This window comes from Homo sapiens, chromosome 4 (assembly GCF_000001405.40).
Source record: "Homo sapiens chromosome 4, GRCh38.p14 Primary Assembly".
NCBI lineage: Eukaryota > Metazoa > Chordata > Mammalia > Primates > Hominidae > Homo > Homo sapiens.
This window is the reverse complement of record NC_000004.12, coordinates 67457360-67484322: the sequence shown is the minus strand read 5'-3', so window position 1 is coordinate 67484322 and position 26963 is coordinate 67457360. Positions and strand designations below refer to the sequence as shown.

Genomic DNA, 26963 nt, shown 5'->3' with positions numbered 1-26963 from the left:
ATTAAGCTATTTTGTCTTATGAACGTCATAAGATGATATAGCCTACTACGAACCTAGGCTATATAGGATGATACCCTGTTGCTTCTGTACTTCAAACCTGTACAGCGTGTTTCTGTGCTGAATACTGTAGACAGTTGTATTTGTGTATCTAAATGTAGAAAAAGTACAATAAAAATGTGGCATAAAAGATAAATGTTACCCTTATAGGGCACTTACCATGAATGGAGCTTTCAGGACTGGAAGTGGTCCTGGATGAGTCAGTGAGTAAGTGCTGAGTAAATGTGAAGACCTAGGACATTACTGTACACTACTGTAGACTTTATAAATACTGTAGACTTAGGCCACACTAAATTCATAAACAGAATTTTTCTTTCTTCAGTAATAAACCTCATCTAACTGTAACATTTTCACTTTATATCCTTTTGTTGTTGTTGTTAACTTTTGGACTCTTTTGTAATACTTAAAATTCAACCATACTGTTTGGCTGTACAAAAATATTTTATTTCCTTATTCTATAAGCTTTTTTCTATTTTTTTTTTAACTTTTAAAACTTTTTTGTTAAAAAGTAAGACACAAACAGCACATCAGCCTTGGGCTACACAAGATTAGGATCATTATCACTGTCTTGCACTACCACATCTTGTCCCACTGTAAGGTCTTTGGGAATAGTAACACACATGGAGCTGTCATCTCCTATAATAACATTGGTTTCTTCTGGAATACTTACTGAGGGACCTGCCTGAGACTGTTTCACAGTTAACTTTTTTTTTTTTTATATAAGTGGTAAGAGTACACTCTAAGGTAATGGATAAAAGTATAGTAAATACATAAGCCAGTGGCATAGTTGTTTATTATCATTACCAAGTGTTTTGTACCACACAAAATTGTGTTATATTTTATTTTTTACTTCAATAGGTTTTGGAGAACAAGTAGTGTTTGGTTACATAGATAATTTTTTTTTTTCTTTCATTGAGATAGAGTCTCCCACTGTCCCCAGGCTGGAGTGGCACGATATCAGCCCACTGCAGCCTCTGCCTCCCGGGTTCAAGCAATTCTCGTGCCTCAGCCTCTCAAGTAGCTGGGATTACAGGATGTATTAGTCCCTTCTCATACTCCTATAAAGAACTGCCCAAGACTGGGTAATTTTGAAAGGAAAGAGGTTTAATTGACTCACAGTTCTGTGGGGCTGGGGGTGCCTCAGGAAACTTACAATTATGGCAGAAGGGGAAGCAAACATGTCCTTTTTCACATGGTGGCAGCAAGGAGAATTGCCAAGCGAGGGGGAAAAGCCCCTTATAAAACCATCAGATCTTGTGAGAACTCACTCTCATGAGAACAGCATGAGGGTAACTGCCCCCATGATTCAACTACCTCCCACTAGGTCCCTCCCATGACATGTGGGGATTATGGCAGCTACAATTCAAGGTGACATTTGGGTGGGGAGACAAAGCCAAACCATATTACAAGAGATTATTTATTTAGTGGTGATTTCTGAGATTTTGGTGCACCTATCACCTGAACAGTGAACACTGTACCCACCGTGTAGTCTTTTATACCTCTCCTCCTCCCACCCTTCCCCCTGAGTCCTCAAAGTCCATTGTATCATTCTTATGCCTTTGCATCCTCATAGCTTAGCTCCCACTTATAAGTGAGAACATACAATGTTTGGTTTTCCATTCCTGGGTTACTTTATTAGAATGATGGTCTCCAACTCCATGCAGGTTGCTGCAAATACCATCCATTATTTCATTCCTTTTTATGGTTGAGTACTATTCTATGGTACATGTATACCACATTATCTACTTGTTGATTAATAGGCATTTGGGTTGGTTCCGTATTTCTGCAGTTGCACATTATGCTGCTATAAATGTACGTGTGCAAGTGTCTTTTTCATATAATGACTCACTTTTCTTCTGAGTAGGTACCCAGTAGTGGGATTGCTGGATCAAATGGTAGATCTACTTTTAGCTCTACTAAGGTTTTCTGTAGCGGCTGTACTAGTTTACATTCCCACCATTAGTGTAAAATTGTTCCCTTTTCACTGCATCTAGGCCAACATCTACTATTTGTTGATTATGGCCATTCTTGCAGGAATGAGGTGGTATCTCATTGTGGTTTCGATTTGCATTTTCCTTATCATTAGTTATTGTTGAGCATTTTTTTTGTGTGCTTCTTGGCCATTTGTATATCTTCTTTTGAGAATTGTCTATTCATGTCCTTAGCCCACTTTTTGATGAGATTGTTTGGTTTTATCTTGCTGATTTGTTTGAGTTCCATGTAGATTCTGGATATTATTCCATTGTTGCACAGACAGTTTGTGAATATTTTCTTTCACTCTGGGTTGTCTGTTTACTCTGCCGTTGCCTGTTTACTCTGCCAATTATTTCTTTGGCTGTGCAGAAGCTTTTTAGTTTAATTAGGTCCCATCTATTTTGTTTTTGTTGTGTTTGCTTTTGGATTCTTGGTCATGAAGTCTTTGCCTAAGCCAATGTCTGGAAGGGTTTTTCTGATGTTATCTTTTAGAATTTTCATGGCTTCAGGTCTTAGTTTCAAGTCTTTGATCCATCTTGAGTTGATTTTGGTATAAGGTGGCAGATGAGGATCCAGTTTTATTTTTCTACTTGTGCCTTACTGGTTATCCCAGCACCATTTGTTGAATAGGGTGTCCCTTCCCTACTTAGTGTTTTTGTTTGCTTTGTTGAAGATCAGTTGGCTGTAAGTATTTGGCTTTACTTCTAGGCTCTATTCAGTTCCATGGTCTATGTGCCTATGTTCATTTCAGTACTGTGCTGTTTTGGTAACTATATGTTTATAGTATAGTTTGAAGTCAGGTAATGTGATGCCTCCAGATTTGTTCTTTTTGCTTAGTCTTCCCTTTGGCTATGCAGGCCCTTTTTTGGTTCCATAATGAATTTTAGGATTGCTTTTTCTAGTTCTTTGAAGAATGATGATAGTATTTTGATGGGAATTGCATTGAATTTGTAGATTGCTTTTGGCAGTATGTCATTTTCACAATACTGGTTCTACCCATCCATGAGCATGGGATGTGTTTTCATTTGTTTATGTCGTCTATGATTTCTCATCTCTTTGGTTAGGTATATTCCAAATTATTATTATTATTTGTGGCTATTGTAAAAGGAGTTGAGTTCTTGATTTGTTTCTCAGCTTGGTCGCTGCTGGTGTATAGCAGAGCTATTGATTTGTGTACGTTGATTTTGTATCCTGAAAGTTTACTGAATTCACTTATCAGATCTAGGAACTTTTTGGATGAGTCTAGGGTTTTCTAGCTATATGATCATATCATTGGCAAACAGCAACAGTTTGACTTCCTCTTTTCTAGTTTGGATACCCTTTATTTCTTTCCTTTGTCCGATTGCTCTGGCCAGGACTTCCAGTACTATGTTGAATAGAAGTGGTGAAAGTGGGCATCCTTGTCCTCTTTCAGTTCTCAGGAGAAACTTTTCAACTTTTCCTTGTTCAGTATGATGCTGGCTGTAGGTTAGTCATAAATGGCTTTTATTACCTTGAGTTATGCTCCTTCTATGCCGATTTTGCTGAGGGTTTTAATCATAAAGCAATGCCGGATTTTGGCAAATGCTTTTTCTGCATCTATTGAGCTGATCATGTGATTTTTTGGTTTTAATTCTGTTTATGTGGTATTTCACATTTATTGACTTGCGTATTGACTCCTCTCTGTCTTTTGGAATCATTTCAGTTGGATTGGTACCAATTCTTCTTTGAATGTCTGATAGAATTCAGCTGTGAATCCATCTGGTCCTGGACTTTTTTGTTGTTGTTGACAATTCTTTTATTACCTTTTCAATCTTGCTGCTTATTATTGGTCTATTTAGAGTTTCTATTTCTTCTTGGTTTAATCTAAGAAGGTTGTGTATTTCCAAGAATTTGTCTCTTTTCTGATAGATAAATTGAATGTCTGATAGAATTCAGCTGTGAATCCATCTGGTCCTGGAATTTTTTTTTTCTTTTTCTTTTCTTCCTTTTTGAGACGGGGTTTTGCTCTTGTTGCCCAGGCTGGAGTGCAATGGTGCGATTTCAGCTCACTGTAACCTCCATCTCCCAGGTTCAAGTGATTCTCCTGCCTCAGCCTCCCAAGTAGCTGGGATTACAGGCATGCGCCACCAATTCTGGCTAATTTTGTATTTTTAGTAGAGACGGGGTTTTGCCATGTTGGCCAGCCTGGTTTTGAACTCCTGACCCCAGGCAATCCACCTGCCTCAGCCTCCCAAAGTGTTGGGATTACAGGCATCAGCCACTATACCCGGCCTGGACTTTTTTTGTTGTTGACAATTCTTTTATTACCGTTTCAATCTCATTGCTTGTTATTGGTCTTTTCAGAGTTTCTATTTCTTCCTGGTTTAATCTAGGGAGTTGTATATTTCCAGGAATTTATCTGTCTCATCTAGGTCTGGTTTGTATACATAAAGGTGTTCATACGAGCCTTGAATGATCTTTTGTCTTTCTGTGGTATTGGTTGTAATATCTCCCATTTTGTTTCTAATTCAGTTTATTTGGATCTTCTGTCTTCTTTGTTAACCTCACTAATGGTCTATCAATTCTGATTATATTTTCATTTAGTTCTACCAAATGGCCTGATCTTCATCTGCTGGGTTTAGGTTTTGTTTGTTTTTATTTCTCTAGCTCCTTGAGGTGTGACCTTAGATTGTGTATTTGTGTTCTTTCAGACTTTTTGATGGAGGCATTTAATGCTATTAACTTTCCTGTTAGCACTGCTTTTGCTGTATCTTAGAGGTTTTGATAGATTGTGTCACTATTATTGTTCAGTTCAAAGAATTTTTCAATTTTCATCTTTATTTCATTGTTGACCCAACAATCATTCAGGAGGAGATTATTTAATTTCCATCTATTTGCTTGGTTTTGAGGGTTCATTTTGGAGTTGACTTCCAATTTTATTCGACTGTGGTCTGAGAGAGTACTTGATATAATTTTGGTTTTCTTAAATTTATTGAGACTTGATTTGTGGCCTCTCATACAGTCTATCTTGGAAAATGTTCCATGAGCTGATGAATAGAATGTATATTCTGCAGTTTTTGGGTAGAATGTTCTGTAAATATCTATTAAGTCCATTTGTTCCAGTGTATAGTTTAAATCCATTGTTTCTTTGTTGACTTTCTGTCTTGATGACCTGTTTACTGCTGTCAGTGGGGTATTGAAGACCTTGAGTATAAGTGTGTTGCCGTCTATCTCGTTTCTTAGGCCTAGTAGTAATTGTCTTATAAATTTGGGAGCTCTGGTGTTAGGTGCATATATATTTAGGATTGTGATATTTTCCTGTTGGACTAGTCCATTTCTTATTACATAATGGCCTTCTTTGTCTTTTTAACTGCTGTTGCTTTAAAGTCTGTTTTGTCTGATATAAGAATAGCTACTCCTGCTCTCTTTTGGTATCCATTTGCATGGAATATCTTTTACTACTTCTTTACCCTAAGCTTATGTGAATCCTTATGTGTTAAGTGAGTCTTTTGAGGACAGCAGGTACTTTGTTGGTGAATGCTTATGCATTCTGCCGTTCTGTATCTTTTAAGTGGAGCATTGAAGTCATTTATATTCAATGTTAGTATTGAGATGTGAGGTACTGTTCTGTTCATTGTGCTAGTTGTTGCCTGAATACTTTGGGTGTGTGTGTGTGTGTGTGTGTGTGTGTGTGTGTGTGTTTTATAGACCCTGGGAGATTTATCCTTTAAGGAGGTTCTATTTTGATATATTTTGAGTTTTTGTTTCAAGATTTAGAACTCCTTTTAGCAGTTGTTGTAGTGCTGGCTTGTTAGTGGGGATTTCTCTCGCCATTTGTTTGTCTGAAAAAGACTTTATCTTTCTTTCATTTATGAAGCTTAGTTTTGCTGGATACTAAAATTCTTGGCTGATAATTGTTTTATTTAAGGAGGATAAAGATAGGACCTCAGTCCCATCTAGCTTGTAGGGTTTCTGCTGAGAAATCTGCTGTTAATCTGATAGGTTTTTTTTAAATAGGTTGCCTGATGCTTTGGCCTCACAGCTCTTAAGATTCTTTGCTTTGTCTTGACTTTAGATAACCTAATGACTGTGTGGCTAGGTGATGATCTTTTTGCGATGAATTTTCCAGGTGCTCTTTGAACTTCTTGTATTTGGATGTCTAGATTGCTAGCAAGGCCAGGGAAGTTATCCTTGATTATTTCCTCAAATTTTTCCAAACTTTTAGATTTCTCTTCTTCCTCAGGAACACCAATTATTCTTATGTGTGGTCGTTTAACATAATCCCAAACTTCTTCAAGGCTTTGTTCATTTTTTTTTTTAATTTATTTTCTCTTTGTCTTTGATTGGGTTAATTCAAAAGCCTTGTTTTTGAGCTCTGAAGTTCTTCTACTCGTTCGATTCTATTGTTAAAACTTTCTAATGTATTTTGCATTTCTCTAAGTATGCCTTTCATTTCTGGAAGTTGTGATTGTTTTTTATTTATGCTATCTATTTCTCTCGAGATTTTTTCATCAAAATCCTGTATTTTTAAAAAAAAATTCTTTAAGTTGGTTTTCATCTTTCTCTGGTGCCTCCTTGAGTAATGTAATAATCAACCTTCTGAATTATTTTTCTGGCAATTCAGAGATTTATTTGTTTGGATCTATTGCTAGGGAGCGAGTATGATCTTTTGGGGGTGTTAAAGAACCTTGCTTTATCACATTACCAGAATTGTTTTTCTGGTTTCTTCTCATTTGGGTAGACTGTGTCAGAGGAGACATCTGGAGGTCAAGCACTGCAGTTCAGATTCATTTGTTCCATGGAGTGATCCCTTGATGTGGTGCTCTCCTCCTTCCCCTAGGGATTATGCTTCCTGAGAGGCAGTCTGCAGTGATTGCTATTGCTCTTCTGTGTCTAGCTACCCAGCAGAGCTATGGGGCTCCAGGCTGGTACTGGGAAGTGCCTGCAAAGCGTCTTGTGATATGATCTGTCTTCAGGTCTCTCAGCCATGGATCTCAGCAGCTGCTCCAGTGGAGGTAGCAGGGGAGTGAAGCAGACTCTGTGACGGTCTTTGGTTGTAGTTTTGTTTAGTGTGCTGGTTTTCTTTAATATTGGTTGTGCTAGCAGGTGGCTGGCCACCAGCCAGGAGATGGTACTTTCAAGAGAGCATCTGCTGATACAAGGTTGCCACAGGTTGCCTGGGTAAGTATTCAGGTTTCTCAGGTGATGGGTGGGGCCTTATAGCTCCTGTCTTAGGCTACAGGGCAGTTAGAGAAAGACCATCAGGTGCAGGTAGGATTGATTAGGTGTGTCTGAGCTCAGACTCTCCTTGGGCTGAGCTTTTTGTGACCACTGTAGGGGATGAAAATATGGTTCCCAGGCCACTGGAGTTATGTTCCCAAGGGGATTATGGCTGTCTCTAGTGCATCATACTGGTCACCAAGGAAGTGGGGGAAGCTGGCAGACTGGCCTCACCCAGCTCCCAAGCAGCCAGGCTAGGCCAGTCTCACTCCTACTGTGCCCCACCAAACCAAGTTTGTATCCAGACAGCCAGTGAGCAGGACTGACATTTTGCGCTAGGCTATAAGTCTCCCTGCTGAGAAAGCAAGCTGGGCTTTCAGGCCCTGCCCCTTGCTGCCTACCCTGGCTTGTATCTGAACTTCCTATTCGCCCTTCCCCCAATTCTGCCCAGGAAAATTCACGCTTCATCAAAATTATTTAAAGTTCAGCTGGAAGTTTCCTTCTTTCTGTGGTCCTCCCCCAGTTCCACTGGCAGCCATCCCCAAGGAACCCTATGAGATAAAGTCAGAAATGGCTTCCTTGGGTTTCCTTGGAAACCAGGAGTACTTAACAGGGCTCTTCCTGCCTCTGCTTCTACTATTATATTTCCCTTGGCTCTCTCAATTCGTTTCAGCTCTAGGTAAGGTTAAATCCTTCTCTCATGACCTGGATTTTCAGCTTCCCCAGTAAGGATGTGTTTGGAGGCAGACTTTCCCCCCTTTCACACTTTGGGCACTCACGGTTGTTCAGCTGTCTCATGGAGTTTGCAGCAGCAAGCCATTTCTTTCAAAGAGTCTGTGAATTCTTTCAGTTTTCTTGGTATGTTCCTGCAGTAGTTCTTCTGGCAAAAAAGTTCATGATGTGAGTTTCCACATGCTGTTCTGTCCATCTGAGTGGGAGCTGCAAGTTAGTCCTACTTTCTATCCTCCACTTTTTCCTGTATGTGCTATACTTTTATGTGACTGGCAGTTCAGTAGATTTATTTACATCAGCATCACCACAAACATGTGAGTAATGCTTTTCACTGGGACATCATGATGGCTGTGAGGTCACTAGGCAATACGATTTTTTAAATGCCATTGTAACCTTATAGGACCACTATCATGTAGGCAGTTTGCTGTTGACTGAAACATCGTTAGGCAGTGCATGACTGTATCACAAATTTAATGGCTTAATACTCTTGGGCTGGGCGCGGTGGCTCACACCTGTAATCCCAGCACTTTGGGAGGCCGAGGCGGGCAGATCACCAGGTCAGGAGATCGAGACCATGGTGAAACCCCGTCTCTACTAAAAATACAAAAAAAAATTAGCCAGGCGCGATGGCGGGCGCCTGTAGTCCCAGCTACTCAGGAGGCTGAGGCTGGAGAATGGCATGAACCCTGGAGGCGGAGCTTGCAGTGAGCCGAGATCGCCTCACTGTACTCCAGCCTGGATGACAGAGTGAGACTCCATCTCAAAAAACAAGAAACAATACTCTTGTATTATCTATCTCACAGTTATGTAGAGAGAACCATGAGCTTGACCAGGTATTCTCTTTAGAGTATTACAAGACTGGAATCAAGATGTTGACAGGTTTGTATTTCTTTCTGGAGGCTGTAAGGACGAATCTGCTTCCAGTCTGCTTCCAGTCTCGTTCAGACTGTTGGCAGAACTCAGTTTTAAGTGGTTGTGGGACTGAGGTTCCCATTTCCTCACTGGCTGTTGGCCAGGGTGTCATTCTTAGATTTTAGAAATAACTCATGTTTCTTGGCATATGGCCCCACATCTTTAGTGCCAGCAACGGTGCAAGTCCCTTTCATGCTTCAAATTTCTGTGACTGTTCCTTCTCTTTCGTTTCTTCTCTGCTTCCAGCAGGAGAAAGTACTCTATTTTTAAGGGCTTAATGTGATTAGATTGGGCCTACCTACATTATCAAAGATAATCTCCCCATCTCAAGGTCCCTTTTGCCATGAAATTTAATGTATTTACAAGTTCTGGAGATTAAAGCCAGCACATTTGTGGGGAGTCGTTATTCTTCCCACTACATTTTAAGGTTCCTTTGAAGTATTATCATGGTTCAGTTTTGAATGAGATTTTTATTTTTATTTTTACAGGTTTTTTATGTTAACTTTGGTGACCTTTTGTGTACTTTACATGAAACACCTTATATATTAAGTACTGGGGATTCGTTCTATGTTCCTTCAGGTAAGACAATTTATTTCACTTAGACAACATGTATATAGTTGTTTTTGGGCACTATGGAAATGGAAGCCACAGTGGTCAAAATGAAGTGTGATATGACTGATGGATGTCAGAACAGTTTGGTACATATTTTCCTTTCATTTGATCATTAGGTAAGTGTATTAGCATTTTGTGGTGGTTTTTTTTTGTTTTTGAGACAGAGTCTTGCTCTGTCACCCAGGCTGGAGTGCAGTGGCACGATCTCAGCTCACTGTAGCCTCCACCTCCTGGGTTCAAGCGATTCTTGTGCCTCAGACTCTCGAGTAGCTGGGACTACAGGCACGAACCACCACATCCGGCTACTTTTTGTATTTTTAGTAGAGGCGGGATTTTGCTATGTTAGCCGTAACAGATCACCTGACCTCAAGTGATCTGCCCACCTTGGCCTCCAAAGTGCTATGATTACAGGTGTGAGCCACAGTGCCCAACCAATTAGTGTTTTGATACATGAGAACAAGAGTTGTTTACTACTGAATATGAAAATATTGGCTGGGCATGGTGGCTCATGCCTGTAATACCAGCACTTTAGGAGGCCAAAGTGGGCAAATCACAAGGACAGGAGATCGAGACCATCCTGGCTAACACAGTGAAACCCCATCTCTACTAAAAATACAAAAAAATTAGCTGGGCGTGGTGGCGGACACCTGTGGTCCCAGCTACTCTGGAGGCTGAGGCAGGAGAATGGCATGAACCTGGGAGGTGGAGCTTGCAGTGACCAGAGACTGCACCACTGCACTCCAGCCTAGGGGACAGAGTGAGACTCGGTCTCAAAAAAAAAAATACATTTATGTATATAGTCAGCAGATATGTTGTATTACAGAGGAGAACAAAAATTATTTACCCCATGTTATCTCTAAGAAATTATGTTTTTAGAACATTATTTTAAACTGTTTCAAGAATGGTATGCTTCATCAGCTATCGAACAGCAGAAGTTATTGTAAATAGGCATTTTAATCCACTTGTCATTCATTCACTCATTCAACAAGTATGATTAAGAGACTACTATGGGCCAGGTGCAGTGGCTCACACCTGTAATCCCAACATTTTGAGAGGCTGAGGAGGGCTTGAGGTGAGGAGTTCGGGACCAGCCTGGGCAACCTAGGAAGACCCTGTGTCTACAAAAAATGCAAAAGTTAACCAGGCACGGTGATACACACCTATAGTCCTAGCTCTCGGGAGGCTGGGACAGGAGGACTGCATGAGCCCAGGAGTTCAAAGTTGCGGTGAGCTGTGATTGTACTACTGCACTCCAGCCTGGGTGACAGAGCAAGACTCTGTCTCAAAAACAAAAACAAAACAAAGTGTCTACTATGTCCATGTATTGCTGCAAGATTTGGGATATATAAATGAAAAAACAGGCAAAAATCCCTGCTTTTATAGAGCTTACATTCTGTTGGAAGGAGACAATAATAATAGCCATACTTGCATAATCCTTAGTATGTCAGCACTGTTGTGAATACTTTCTCAATTTCTAATATATAGAAAGTCACAGTGATAGTACTCAATTCTAATAAGCCTGTCACATGTGATACTTGCGGTCCATCTGTATTTCACTTTTGCTGTTATTTGTTACCTCATTTATTTAAGAGTAGCATTTGCCTTTTTAAAATTTTGAGATTTTGGCCGGGCGCGGTGGCTCATGCCTGTAATCCCAGCTCTCAGGGAGGCAAGAGGCGGGAGGATAGCTTGAGCCCAGGAGTTCGAGACCTGCCTGGGCAATATAGCGAGACCCCGTTCTCCAGAAAAAGAAAAAACAAAAACAAAAAATAAGTAAATAAATAAAATTTTGAGATTTTATTCTACTTAACATTGTACCTTTTATATTCATCTATATATGAGTATGTCTGGTTAGAGGAATCCACAGCAGTTCTGTAGACCTAATAAAGATTGGTTTCAGAAAGAGATTTTCTTTTCTTACACTCTCGACTGATTCATCTCCGTATTTATTTTCATAACGATGTGAAATTTATATTTCTGTTCTCTCAAGCCTCATCTGGATCACGTGTCATGGTTAGCTGTTGATGTAGTTCATGGAATTAAATAAGTTACTTTAGGTTAGGTGAATTGTTTTTATCTTGTGTCCTATACTACAACTGTCAGGTGATGACTACATACTTAATCAAAAAGAATGATTCATATGTAAATAATTTTTATTTTCTTATCACTTTACTTTTAGGTAACTATTATAACATCAAAAATCTCCGGAATGAGGAAAGTGTTCTTCTTTTTACTCAGATAAAAAGATGAAAGATCAACCAACCTTAAATATATGTATGTATATATGTATATGTGAAAAACAGTTTGTATAGTTGGAATATTTGTCTTTGTAATTACTTGTGATGTTTTAAAATAAAAATTTTATTCAGTTTTCTGTAGACTTGTATTTGATAAACATTTCTAACTCACATGTTTTTTCTGATTTTTCAGTGACTGTACATAATAGCTTGTAGCGATGTCCATATTTATGATATTATTTTTATAATTTGACAAGAATATGAAAATGAAATATAGAACATTTCTGTGTCAAAAGAGACCTGATTAATATGTCTACTCATTAAAAAACATCTTTTCCAAATACTAATTTTAAATCATTTATTATTAAATAATCCAATGGGAGAGAACTGTGGTAAAAGGCATGTTTGTATTAATTTCCTAGAACTGCTGTAACAAAATACCACAAAATGAGTGACTTAAAGCAACAGAAATTTATTATCTCAGTTCTAGAGGCTAGAAGTCTGAAATCAAGGTGTTGTCAAGGCCGTGATGTCTTTGAAAACCTGTAAGGGAGAGAATCCTTCCTTATTCCTAACTTCTGGTGGTTTACTGGCAATTTCTGGCATTCCTTGGCTTGCACCGGTAGCATTTCAATCTACTTGCATTATCACATGGTATTCTCACCTTGTGTGTCTGTGTTGGCATGACATCTATTTAGTATATTACATGTAAATGTTTTTCCATTATGCTTTTTGGTTCATATTTTCTGTTGGAGGCAGTGTCCTTCGCCATTGCTTTCTGTATGTGGCCTCAACTTTCCCTTTTTAATATCAATCAATACATCTAAGCTAAAAATTCTAATCAAGGTTTTTGGTATGGTTAGCATATAATTCTCATTAACTCTGAAGAAATTGATGTTTTACGGTAAAAATATTTTTAGGCCAACTCCCTTTTCAGGTCTTATTTAACCATTAAATACACACATTTAAAGCAACTCTGGTGTAGGACTTAGGAAGAATGAAGTGTGATGGCTCTTTTTTTATACTTTATAATTTTCTATTGTGATTTCTCTTTTATTGAGTCATTTTTAATTTTTTTTTTACTTTTATTTCTTTGAATATATTTGTTATGAAGTCTTATTGAAGGCTTGACTAATCAAGTATCTGGGCCCATACAGATTTAGTTTTCACTGAATGCTTTTTTTCCTTTAGTATATTTCACTTTCATATGTTTTTACATGTCTAATAATTTTTGGTTGACAGCTGGACATTTTAGGTAGCATATTGTAGCAACTCAATTTTGTTTTATATCTAAGGGATTTGTATTGTTTTAAATTTAGCATTTTGACTGGACTCAAATTGTGGAATCTATCTTATATATGATGTGAAGTTATTGCTGTCTGTGCTCAGTTTTTAAGTTCTTTATTTCAATATTTATTCTTGCTTGCTAGGGGTAGTTCCTGTGTCTGCATAGCTTAGCAGTCAGCCAATCATTTGGACAAAGGTTAAGATCAAACACTTGAGTCTATAAGCCTTCCACCCACTGTTGGTTGTTCTGTGTGGGATGGGGGATGCATTCATTGTAGGAGGCAGTTCCCAAATTCCCCTTGGTTTTTACATTTGCCATGCTCTCTTGAGTCTCCCCTGTGCATGCATCATTTCAGTTTGCCAAAGATGTTTGGAGAGCTCATGTTACCCTTTTCTGCCCTTCTGTTTCCAGGACCTTGTTAAATGTCTGGCTGCTCTGTTGCTCTTCAAGAACTAGGACTGTAACCTTTGGTTAGCAACTACAGATACTCCTTGTCCATTCCTAAGTGATTTTTTTACTTTTGACTTACAAAGTTGTAGGTTTATACCTCTGCTGTAAATCAAGACTCCTCTTACGGCAAAGTTGCTAGTTTTTCAGTTAGCTACAGCCAGACAAAACTGTAGTTTTTACCAATCAACCTAGGGGTGGGTGAGACCTCACTCAAGGAGGCCACAGATTCCAACAGTTCTTTTCCAAAGCTTTAGCAATATTTTTTCTTTATTTTCTTTTTTCTTTTCTTTTCTTTTTTTTTTTTTTTGAGGCAGAGTTTCACTCTTGTTGCCTGGGCTGGAGTGCGATGGTGTGATCTCGGCTCACTGCAACCTCCACCTCCCGGGTTCAAGCAATTCTCCTGCGTCAGCCTCCTGAGTAGCTGGGATTACAGTTGCTTGCCACCACGCCTGGCTAGTTTTTGTGTTTTTAGTAGAGACAGATTTTCACCATGTTGGCCAGGGCTGTCTCGAATTCCTGACCTCAGGGTGATCCACCCACCTCAGCCTCCCAAAGTGTTGGGATTACAGGTGTGAGCCACTGTGCCCAGCTTAAGTGTAGCCTTTCTTTGTCTAAACTGAAAGCCCATATGGTTCAGCAAAGGCTCTCCATTCTGCTTGGTCAGAGCCACGTCTGATTTTTGCCACCTCTGTACTCTGTTCAGCTCATAGGCTTCTGTCATGTCTCAGAATTTTGCTCTGCACATTTGCAGCCTACTGTTCAGCCAACTGTTCAGCCAACTTCTAGGGCTATAATGGCTGATACAGTAGTCACAAGTTGTAGCTATTTAAAATTAATTTAAAATATTGTTTCTTACTTGCATTTGCCACATTTCAAGTGCTTAGTAGCACATGGTACTGGTGGCTACCACATTAGATGTCACAGATACAAGTTGCAGAAAGTTCTGTTCTTGGGCACCTCGTGCAGATTTCTGGAGCTCTTTTTCAGTGGAGTTTCCACTTCTGTACCCTGCATCACAATTCAGTTTTCTCAACAGCCCTAAATTGTGATCTTTCTGTGCCCATTAAGACCACTGTTCTTTTTGAGCTTAACTCTCTGTGTCCAGTTTTGGAGAGTGCCCCCAGGCATAAAACTGGGTGACTATGGAGTTAATTTCATGTCTTTAAAGAATCACAGTCCTGCCTACTTTGTCAGGCAGCCCTCATGCTCATGAAGGGTCTTAAAGAAAGAGACTTCTACCCGGGCATGGTGGCTCATGCCTGTAATCCCAACACTTTGGGAGGCTAAGTCGGGTGGATCATGAGGTCAGGAGTTCGAGACCAGCCTGGCTAACATGGTGAAACCCCGTCTCTACTAAAATACAAAAGTTAGCCGGGCATGATGGCAGGTGCCTGTAATCCCAGCTACTCAGAGGCTGAGGCAGGAGAATTGCTTGAACCTGGGAGATGATGGTTGCAGTGAGCCAAGATCACGCAACTGCACTCCAGGCTGGGCAGCCGAGCAAGACTCTGACTCAAAAAAAGAAAACAAAAGAATCACCGTCCTTCACTTTTGTCCAATGTCTGCATAGAGTTACCTTTTATCTTTTTCTATTTTAAAGTTTGTTGGAGGAGGGCAAATTTGATACCCATTAATCCATCGTGGGCATCACCCATGAGAGTTTTTTTAATGATTTTTCTAATTTTTATTGTTGGATAGGATTCCACAGTTTGTTGTCCATTTACTTACCACATGGATGCATGTGTCTTTAATTTCTTCCAATGGTTACTTACATCTATGTAACTACAATGCAGAAAACAGGAATTTGGCAAGGATACAATGCATGTGTATAGTTCTATTTCATCATATGTGTGAATTTGTGTAACTACTGCAATCAACATAGAACTGTTTCATCATCACTAATTTGTTCTTCATCTCTGTAATATTGTCACTTATATATTGTTGTAGCAATGGAATAATATAGTGTATGACCTTTGGTTTTTCTCACTCAGCATAAAGCCCTTAAGATCATCCAAGCAGTTATACCTATCAATAGCTCATTTCTTTTTTATTGCTAAGTGGTATTCTCTAGTATGGATGACTGTACCACAAATAAAGATGAAGTGAACACTTCCTACAGGTTTTTGTGTAAATTTAAGTTCTTGTTTCTCCGGAGTAATGCCCATATGGGAAGCATACATTTAATTTTTTAGGAAACTGTTTTCCAGATTGGCTGTACCATTTTACATTCCCACAATCAATTTATGAGACACAGTGGTCTCATAAACCCCTTATCTGTGGTTTCACTTTCCTTGAATGCAATTAACCCACAGTTAATCGTGGTCCAAAAATGTTAAATGGAAAATTCCAGAAATAATCCATAAGTTTCAAATTGTGTGCTGTTCCAAATAGCATAATGAAATCCCATGCCCTCCCGCCTGGGACATGAATCCTCCTTTTGTCCAACATATTTATACTATAGACTACCTGCCCGTTAGTCATTAATATTTTCTGCTCTTGACTTTCAACCATTGATACCACCATGGTTCTGTGATCCAGGATCACCTGAAGCAGTTTATCCTCCTGACAATAGTAGCCTAACGCTATGTCACAATGCCTGTGTCATTCACCTCACTTCATCCCATCAGCATAGGCCTTTTATCACGTCATCACAAAAAGACGGGTAAGTGCAGTACAAGAAAGTATTTTCACAAAACTTTTATTATAGCACATTATAATTTTTCTGTTTCATTGTTAACTCATACTTTGTCTAATTTATAAATTAAACCATTATATGTATGCCAACAAAAAAATCTAAAGATATCTATATCTATAGATATATATAGGGTTCAGTACTGTCTGTGGTTTCAGGCATTCACTGGGGGTCTTGGGAACCTAACCCCCAAGGCGGACTGCTGTATCTAGTTTCTTTGCCCCCTCACCAAACATTTGGTATTGTTACTTTTTTTAGCTGTTCTAATAAGTGAGTAAGGATATTGTCTCTTGAACTTAATTTGCATTTCTCTAATGACTAGTGATGTTAAGCATCTTTTCATATGTTTATTTGCTATCCATATGTCCTCTTCAGTGAAATGCCTTTTCATCTCTTTTGATCATTTTTTGTTTGGATTTTTTAATGTTGAATTTTGGAAGTTTTAAAAATATATTTTTGATATGAATCATTTGTTGGACTTATGGTTTGCACATATTTTCTCCTGGTCTGTGCTTGTCTTCATCATAACAAGGCCTTTTGAAGAGCAAAGGTTTTAATTTTGATGAAGTCTAACTTATTGATTTTTATTCTTTTATAGATCATACTGTGTCTTGCAAACTCTTCAATCTCTAGATCCAAAATTTTTTTTTCTGTTTCCTTCTGTAAGTTTATAGCTTTGCATTTTACATTTCAGTTTTGTAATCCATTTTGAATTAAATGTTTTTTCATAAGGTGAGAGAGTTAGGTCAAAATTCATTTTTTGGCTGTGGATGGCTGATTGTACCTGCAGCAATTGTTGAAAGGGCTATCTTTCTTCCACTGAATTGCTTTTGTACCTTTGTCAAAAATCAGTTGAGCATATTTGTGTGGATCTATTCTGAGTTCTGTGTCTATTTTTTTTAATATGATAGAAGTTTATTACTCTATTGAAACAGTTCAGAGGTGTATAGTCAAAGGCCGAAATAGGGTGACTCTGCCATCCTTGGTATGTGGCTTAAAAATTTTTTTTAATTTTATTTCAGTGGCTTTTGGGGTACAAATGGTTTTTGGTTACATGGACGAATTACATAGTGATGAAGTCTGAGATTTTAGTGTACCTGTCACTCAAGTTGTGTACATTGTACCCAGTATGTAGTTTTTTATCCCTCACTCCCTTTTCATCCTCCCCCTTCTGAGTCTCCAAAGTCCATTATACCACTCTGTATGCCTTTGCATATTCATAGCTTAGCTCCCTCTCACTTAGCTCATGACTGAGAACATAGGGTATTTGGTTTTCCATTCCTGAGTTACCTCATTTGGAATAATGGCCTCCAGCTGTATTCACGTTGCTGCAAAATAACATTTTTTTAAAAATTCAATTTTATTTTAGATCCGGGGTTACATGTACAGGTTTGTTACTTGAGTATATTGCATCCAGGTAGGGAGCACAGTTAGGTAGCGAGCACATCCAGGTAGTGAGCACCCAATAGTCAGTTTTTCAACCCTTGCCCATATCTATCCCAAGGAAAAGAAGTAGGTAGATACTCTGCCCTCTGACTTTTCCTCAGTTCCACTGCCAGGCCATCAGGAATGCGATCCACCTCCTAGTCACACTGCTGACCCAGTGTTGTGGCTATTCAGATCAGACAGGTACCTCTTCATCTGCAGGAACGTTGGTGTTCCAAGTAGAGAGAGAGTGTGACTCTACCCCACATGCAAGCCTGAACCTGGAGGGCACTCTTCCTGTGGGGATGCAGTCACCCTGACGTGTTCCAGAAAGGCTGTCTAAAGGTGCACCCACATGAAGCTCCCATGGGAGAAGCCCCAGCTCTGTCTGCAGTGGTAGATTAAGGGGGAAAAGAAGTCTCTGCTCTGTTGCCCAGGCTAGAGTGTAGTGGCGTGATCTTGGCTCACTGCATCCTCTGCCTCCTGGGTTCAAGCAGTTCTCCTGCCTCAGCCTCCCGAGTAGCTGAGATTACAGGTGCCCGCTACCATGCCCAGCTAATTTTTATATTTTTAGTAGAGACGGGGTTTCATCATATTAGCCAGGCTGGTCTCGAATTCCTGACCTCATGATCTGCCCAACTCAGCCTCCCAAAGAGGTGGGATTACAGGCATAAGCCACTGCGCCCGGCTAGAAGTCTCTTTCTTTAAGACCCTTCATGAGCATGAGGGCTGCCTGACAAAGTAGAGCTACAGACTTTCTACGCTAAGCCCAGCACCGCACCTGTGCTTCCCACAAATGAAGGTTCTGGAACTCAAGGCCTGCCATCTGGATTCTTTTGTCATACGGGATGCTCCCTTGATACGGTATACTCCCCTTTCCTTCAGTAGTGGGAGTCCCTGAGAGCCAGACTACTGTGAATGCTCTGCTGGGGCTAGCCACCCAGTGGGGCTGCCACACTCCAGGCTGGTGCAGGGGAATGTCTGCAAGGAATCCAGTGATATGAGCTGTCCTCAAATTTTCCAGCAGTGGCTCCCAGGGCCAGCTGTGGTGGGGGTGGCAGGGGAGTGACATAGGCTCTGAGACTCCTTGGTTATAAATAGCCTTAGTGTGTTTGCTTTCTCAGAGGCCAGTTGCAGTAGTTACGAACTGGTCACATGGACAGACTCAGGACCTCCTGCTTAGCCAGGATGGTACAGGCAATGGTGATAGCTGAAGTCACACACAGGTTTCTCCCTTCCTTGGCACTGTGTTATTCTACCTAGACGTGCTGTAATGGACTGTGTTGGTTGGCCTCCAGCTAGGAGGTGGTGCTTGCCAAAGAGTGCCAGCTGCAGTGGTACTGGTGAGATTTGTGCTTGCTTTATGTTACCCAGGGAAGGTACTCTGGTGTCTCAGGCAATGGGCAGTGCTATAGTGCTCCCAAAAGTTTCTATTGTTTGTGTTAAGCTACCAGGGCAGGTAGAGGCGCAAAGCCAAGTGGAGGCTGGGTCAGGTAAGTGTGCACTCTGACTTTCTGTGTGTAGGGCAAGCAGTGGTCCCAGTAGCGATCAGCGGGCACTTTTCTGGCTGCCGGGGTGATGTTACAGGTAGGAGTACAGCTGCTTCTGTTGCACAAAAGAGTTCACATAGGGAATGGGGAGTAGCAGGTGGTAGTAAACCTACCCAGCTCCTTTGCACTTGGCAAGGTGGGTATCATACCCGCAGTGTTTCATTAGCAGCAGCTAGCTAGATTCCAGGCAGTCTGTGCTCAGATTCTCTGTTGATCTATGTGTCTACCTCTCTGCCAATACAACACTGTCTTGATTATGTATGACTTGAAATTGGGTATAGTGGTCCACCCATTTTGTTTTTTCTCAGAATTGTTTTAGGTATTCTGATTCCTTTGCCTTTTCATGTAAATTTGGATAATTTTGTCATTATGTACAAAGAATCCTTCTGTGATTTTGATGAGTTATGTTAAATTTGTGTATCATTTTGGGGAAAAATTGACATTTTTGCTATCTTGAAGTCTTCTAATCCATGAACTTGATATGATGGTATGTTTCTCCATCTATTTAGATCTTTGATTTCTTTCATTAGTATTGTGTATTTTCAGTATAAAAGTCATGTACATGTATTGTTAGATTTAGATATATTTTTTGAGGAATTATAAATGGTAATTTTTCTATAGTATGTGTTCTGTGATTTATTTCTTCAGCATTTTGCCTTTCCTAGTCTTTTAAGATTTTACATTAAAAAGTATCTTATCTCTCTGATACCGGAATATATTCTACTGATTTTTACATGTAACTTTCATGATATGCACTAGATTAAATTACAATAGCTTCAGGAAGTTCTGAGATTGTAAATTGAAGCTTCAGAGAAGGAATAAAAGTAGTAGTCTGGAAACAGCTTTATTAAAGGAAATCAGAAACTTTGTAACAAGGTCAGGGTAGGCAACGTTTTCCCGTAAAGGGCTAGAAGGTAAATAAATATCTTAGATTTTGTGGAACACACAGAATGTCTTGCATATTTTAAAAATAGGCTTTATTTATTAAAGCAGGTTTATGTTCACAGCAAAATGGAGCAGAGAGTACTGAGAGCTCCTGTACACTGCTTGCCCCTGCACATGCACCTCTCCTGCTGTCAACACCATGAACCACAGTGGCACATCTGTTACAGTTGATGAACCTACATTGACACATCATTATTACCCACAGTTTACAGTTTACATTAGGGTTTTCAGTTGGTGTTGGGTATTCTGTGGGTTTTGATAAATGTATAATAACATGTATCCATTATTATAGTATTGTAGAGAAAAGTTTCACTGCCTTAAAATTCTCTATGCTCCTCTTATTTATACCTCCCATCTCCCTCACCTCTGATCTTTTTAGTCTCCAAGGTTGTGCCTTTTCTGGAATGTCATAACATTGGATTATACAGCCTCTTTTGTTTGACTTCTTTGATATTGTATTTTTAATACAATTTTTAGCTTACACAGGTTAATTGCTAGAGTATATAAATACAATTTTTTTGAGATGGGGTCTTGCTATATCACCCAGGCTAGAGTGCAGTGGCTAGTCACAGGTGTGACTATAGTGCACAATAGCCTTGAACTTGTGGTATCCTGTGTCCTGAGTAGCTAGAGCTACATATGTATGCCACCTCTCCAGGCTCTCAGTTGAGTTTTGTATGTCAGTTTTTGCATCCTGAAAACTTGCTAGAGTCACTACAAGTTCTAGAAGTTTTTTGTTTTTCAAAGATTTGTTTTTAAAGATTTTCTACTTAGACCACCATGTCATCTGCAAATAAAGCCGATTTTCTTTCTGTCCTATCTGAATGCTTTTCACTATTAGAACTTCCAGTTTTATGTTGAATAACAGTGGTGAAAATAGACGTCCTTACCCTTTTTCCTAATTATAGGGGGAAAACATCTAGTCTTCACCTGATGTTAGCCATAGGTTTTTTTTAGATGTTCTTTGTCAAGTTGAGGACTAATTTTTTAAATAACAAGTGAGTGTTGAATCTTGTTGAATGCTTTTTTTGCATCTGTGGATATGATCATGTGGTTTTTCTTATGTGTATAGATATGTTTGTAATATTTTCTTGTTTTTTTTGTTGTTGTTTGTTTTGTTTTCTGCAGAGTCTATAGTGATATTCTCTGTTTTGTTCTTGGTGTTGGTAATTGGTGCCTTCTCTCATCCTTGCCAGTTTTGCTAGAGGTTTGTCAATATTATTGATCTTTTTAAAGACCCAGCTTATTATTGTTCAGTGATTTTCTCCTCTCTTTTGTTTTCAATTTCATTGATTTCTGCTCTTGTTTCTTCCATTTTCTGCTATTTTTGAGTTTATTTTGGTCTTCTTTTTCTAAGTTATTGAGATAGCAGCTTAGACTATTGACTTGAGACTCTTACTCTTTTTTAATGTATGCATTTAGTACTATAAATTTCCCTCTCAGCACTGCTTTATATGTGTCTCAAATTTTTATGTTGTATTTTCATTTTCATTCAGGTCAATGTATATATCTTTTACTTCCCTTGAGATTTCTTCAACCAAGGATTCTATAGTAGTGCATTGTTTAGTTTCCAAGATTTAAAAAAAAGTTTTTCTGTTATGTTTTATTACTGTTTTCTAGTTTGATCCTACTGTATTCAGAGAATACAGTGTATGATAGTAATTATTTTAAATGTGCTGAGGTTTGTTTTATGACCCAAGATACTGCCTATTTTTGTATATGTTTGTGGGTACTTGAAGAAAATGTGTATTCTGCTTTTATTGTGTGGAATTTGCTAAAAATGTCATGTAGATCCTGTTTGTTAATGGTGTTGTTGAGTTCATGTATATACTTGCTGATTTTTTTCCTAGTTGTTCTATCAGTTATTGAGATTGAGGAGTGTGAAGTCTCCAACAATTGTGGATTTGTCTATTTCTCCTTTCAGTTCTATCATTGCTTGCTTCATGTATTTTACAGTTCATTTGTTTGGTACATACGTGCTTGGGATTGCCCTGTCTTCTTGGCTCCTTTTTAATTTATTTATCCTTTTTTATTATTTATTATTATTCTTTATCAAGGTGAGGAAGTTTCCCACTATTACTAGTGTATCAAGAGTTTCTTGCAGAAGGAGCAGGATTTAGATAAATTTTTTAAGTTTCTATCATATAATGTTTACATTATATAATGTCCCTCTTTGTTGCTGGTAATTTTCTTTGAAGTCTGCTTTATCTCATACTAATATAACCACCCTTTCTTTCTTTTAATTAATATATGAATGATATCTTTTCCCATTCTTTGTCTTTCAATTTACCCACATTGGTATATTTGAAGGTAATTTCTTATAGACAGTATATTGTTGGATCTGGGTGGTTTTTTAAAATAAATTGTTTTTAATTATAATAGAGATAGGATCTTGCTTTGTTACCCAGGCTTGTTTTGAACTCCCGGCCTCAAGTGATCTGCTTACCTCAGCCTTTCAAAGTCCGGGAATTATAAGCATGAGACACTGTGCCCAGTTGGTTGTTTTTGTTTTGTTTTAATACACCTCACCAAATCTTTGTCATTTAATTGGGAAATTTAGACTGCTCACTTCTAATGCATTTATTCATATGGAAGGGCTATTGTCTGCTATTTTAATTTTTCAGTTTGTTCCCTGTTGTTTCGTCTTTTTTCACCCTTCTAGTGGCTTGCTTAACATTTTGTAGAATTAATTTATCTGTAGCATTTTTAGTTTATCTGCTTATATAGTATTTTAATACCTAGAATAAAGTATTTATTATACATACATACACGAGTTACCACTTTACATATTTGCGTATAGAAATCTTAGCATCATCTACATCCCTTTGCCTGCCTTTATGTATAATATAACTGATTTTTAAATATTTCTTCTATATAAATTGAGAACCATACCAGTATTAGAATTTTTGCTGTAAATCATAGTTTATAAAAGGCAAGTGGAAAAAGAAAATCTGTTGTATTTACCCATATACTTACTCACTTTGTAGTTCCTTGTTCTTCTTGATGTTTCAAGAGTTTTTTTTTATTTCAAGAATTTTATTAGCCATTCTTTTATTGATAGGTCTGCTGGTGACAATTTTTTTTTTCATCTGAGAATGTCTTTATTTCCCTTCATTTTTGAAAGATATTGCACTAGATATAGAATTCTAAGTTAACAGTTCTTTTCTATCACTTATTTAGAAACGCTGGGACACTTCATTCTGGCCTCCATCATTCCTGATGAGAAATGCACTGCCGTTTGAATATTTCCCCTGGACTTGAGACATTTCTCTCTTGTGCCTCTCAAGATTTTTAATTTATCTTTGGTTTTCAGAAGTTTTTTTATAATTGTCTCGATGTGAACTTTTTGGGTTTATCCTGTTTGGTGTTTGTTCAGCTTCTTGAGTTTGTAGGTTTATGTATCTTGCTAAGTTTGGGAATATTTTAGCCATTATTTCATCAAATACTTTTCAAGCCCACTCTCTTTCTTTTCTCCCTCTAGGATCTGATGACACAAATGTTAGATTTTTTTGTTGTTAAATTCCCACAGATTACTGAGATGCTGTATTTATTTTCAGTCTGTTTTCCATCTGTTGTTCATATTGAGTAATTTCTTTTTTTTTTTTTTTTGAGATGGATGGAGTCTTGCTCTGTTGCCAGGCTGGAGCACAGTGGCAGGATCTCAGGTCACTTCAACCTCTGCCTCGGCAGGGTCTCGGCTCACTTCAACCTCTGCCTCCTAGGTTCAGGCGATTCTCTGCCTCAGCCTCCCAAGTAGCTGGGAGTAGGTGGGACTACAGGCACGTGCCACCACGCCCAGCTAATTTTTGTATTTTTAATAGAGACGGGGTTTCCCCATGTTGGCAGGATGGTCTCAATCTCTTGACCTTGTGATCCGCCTGCCTCGGCCTCCCAAAGTGCTGGGATTACAGGCATGAGCCACTGTGCCCGGCATATTGAGTAATTTCTATTGATCTGTATTCAGGTTCACTATTTTCTTCCTCTGTTCCTTCCATTCTGCTGTTGAGTCCATTAATTGATTGGGACATTGTATTTTTCAGTTGCTGAACCTTTCTAATTTTTGTTTCAATTCATTTTGTAATTGTTCCTCATAACATTTTTATGATGGTTACTTTAAAATATTTGTTAGATTCTATAATCTATATCATCCTGACATTGGTGTCTTTTGGTTGGGACACTGCATTTTTCACTTGTGAAACTTTCTATTTTTTGTTTCAATTCAATTTGTAATTGTTCCTTGGAACATTTTTATGATGATTATTTTAAAATATTTGTTAGATTCTATAATCTGTATCTTCCTGACATTGGTGTCTGTTGATTATCTTTTCTCATTCAATTTTAGACTTTTCTGTTTCTTGGTATGAGGAGTGATTTTCATTTGAATCTGAACATTTTGGATATTTTGTTATTACATTTGGATTTTATTTCAATCTGTTTAGCAGTACTCTGACACCTCTTCTTACATACCTGACATTGTGCAGTCAGGGAAAGGGGTTGCTTCCTTCGTGCTACAAGATGGGAGGCTCTCTACTCAGCCTCCATTTACCCTTTAGGTGTAAGAGGGCTGCTAGATGGGTTTCAGAATTGAGGCTCCCAATTAGGCCTCCACTACTAACTACCCAGAGGCACAGGGGTGCCTTGTTAGTATTCTCCATGTGGCTTGTAGGGTGATAAAAGTCCTTTCTGTCCACTTAGCCTTCACTAAAGTCACCACAGCATAAAGGGGGAGAGGTGTCTCACTACTTCCTGGTTATGAGTGGAAGTTAGGTTTCTCCACCTGATCTCCCCCCTCGCCCCTCCCACCCCCGACAATGAAGGAAAAGGAGGGCACTCTTTCTGCTGGGCTTAAAATCATGAATCATGAATCCCAGTTCAGCTTTCCCCAGCATCACCCCTGGAGGGTAAGAGGAGTGTCTTGTTACAGCTGGCTAAGGTGGAAGTCTAGACTCAACATTATGTGATGGGAATGGGGATAGAGCTGTTTTTTCTCTATGCTGTTTGACTCGAGTTGAGCAGTTCTGCCACTTTCCTGATCCTATGGCTAGAAAGAGCAGGCTGTTTTGGAACTTTCTAAAAAATGTGGGCCTGTTGCTGTGTCTAGTATCTGGAAATTTGAAACCTGCTTCTATAGTGCCAAGTTTAGGATAAATGAGGCAAAACAGAAAATCTGTGAAACTCACTGTCATATCATTCCTCAGATCCCAAGGTTCCTGGTTCTTCTGTTTTCTTTCCACTTTTCAGAGTCTTTTCATGTTTTGTATATACGGTGCAGAATTCTTAGCTGTACTTAGTGGAGGGAATAGGGAAAAGTATGTCTACTTCATTTTTTCTAGAAGCCATAGAATGGCCTTTTTTAAAAAATAGATTTTATATAACAGTTTTAGATTTCCATAAAAATTGAGCAAATAGCACAGAAAGTTCTCATATATCTCTCCTCCCACCCCACATACAGTTTCCTTTATTTTAACATCTTACATTAGTGTGGTATATTTGATAATGAACCATTACTGATATGTTAACTAAAGTCCGCAGTTTATATTAAGGTCGAACTGAATCTATAGATGAATTTGAGAAGAATGTACATCTTAACTATCTTAAATCTTCTAATGCATCAACATGGAATAGCTCTCCACTTATTTATATCTCCTTTAATTTCTTAGAGTTTTGTTGTTTTCTGCATAGATACTATCTAATTTTTGTTAAATTCATACCTAAGTTTTTTTTTTGGTGTGAATGTAAATAGTATTGTGTTTTTAGTTTCAAATTTCAGTTATTTATGCTGTTATTGATAAAGGAAATCAGTTGACTTTTGCATATTAAGCTTGTATCTTGCAACCTTTCAATGTTAGGGCCCTCCAGAGAAATAGAACCAACAAAGGGTGTGTGTGTGTGTGTGTGTGTGTGTGTGTGTGTGTATACAGAGAGAGAGAGAGAGAGAGAGATATTTATTATAAGGGATTGATTCATGTGATTGTGGATGCTGGCAAGTCCCATTATCTACAGAGTGAATTGGCAAACTAGAGACCTAGGAGATGGTGGTGTTCCAGTCCAAAGGGTGGCAGGGGTGAGTCCCAGGAAGAGCCAGTGGTTTAGTTTGAGTCTGAAGGCAAGAAGAAAGCTGATGTTCCAGTTCAGAGGCCATCTGGGTGAAAGAATTCTCTTACTTGGAGGTTAGTCATTTTGTTTTATTCAAATCTTCAACTGATTGAATGAGGCCCTCCCACACTGGTGGGGGGAATCTGCTTTACTCAGTTTACTGATTTAAATGTTAATCTCATCCAAAAATAGCCTCACAGAAACACTCAGAATAATTTTTGGCCAAATGTCTTGGCACTCTGTGGCCCAGTCAAGTTGATGCATAAAGTTAAGCTCCCACTTACTATAATTGTTTCTTAGTTCCAGAAGTTTTTTATTTTGGGGGACTTTCTTCATAGCGAAGTCATGTCATCTATGAACAAAGATAGTTTTGTTTCTTCCTTTCCTATTTGTATAACTCTTATTTCCTTTTCTTGCTGTATTGCATTAGCTAGAACTTCCAGTAGGATGTTGAATTGGAGTGGTGAAAGGGAACATCATTGCCTTCTTCATCTTAGGGGGACATGTCTTTTTAAAAACAATTTTTATCTACTACATTTTTTCTGAACACCAGTGGAAATGTCTTTTTAAAAGTATGATGTTATTTTAGTTTTTTTTTTGTAGTTCAAATTAAAGTTTCTAGGAAATCTAAATAGAGTTTATGTTTTGTAGCTCTAAATTGTAACCCCCTGTTATTATACCCAAGCACTATTTTGGTGGTGGTAAAGTGTGGAAAAGGAAAACATAATCTTATGATTAACTCTCAGTTTAATAGTGGGCCTTAGTTGCTGGGATGAGATCTTGTTGTTTTGTTTTCTTTGTTTGTTCATTTG

General features: G+C 38.6%; 1 protein-coding gene across 4 annotated transcripts in view, besides 1 other annotated feature; it reads left to right on the top strand.

Annotated features, from left to right (window-relative positions):
* CENPC (centromere protein C) overlaps positions 1 to 15561 on the top strand; it is a 76742-nt gene extending 61181 nt beyond the window's left edge. For 3 of the 4 annotated variants that reach the window (NR_155754.2, NM_001362481.2, NM_001812.4), the window contains exons 18-19: positions 9345 to 9435; positions 11648 to 15561. Coding sequence is in view for 3 of the 4 variants with exons in the window: in NM_001362481.2 (NP_001349410.1) it covers positions 9345 to 9435; positions 11648 to 11718 (162 nt within the window). In the remaining variant the exon portion in view is untranslated. The remainder of the gene's footprint in view (positions 1 to 9344; positions 9436 to 11647) is intronic. The other variant, XM_047449526.1, reaches the window with a different exon arrangement.
* Positions 5285 to 5786: an enhancer, noted in NCBI's record as "NANOG hESC enhancer chr4:68344255-68344756 (GRCh37/hg19 assembly coordinates)". NCBI's record gives its function as "activates a minimal SCP1, AML or CMV promoter by ChIP-STARR-seq in primed H9 embryonic stem cells {active_cell/tissue: H9 hESC(primed)}" and the evidence as "EXISTENCE:reporter gene assay evidence [ECO:0000049][PMID:30033119]".
* Positions 15562 to 26963: the final 11402 nt, after the last annotated feature.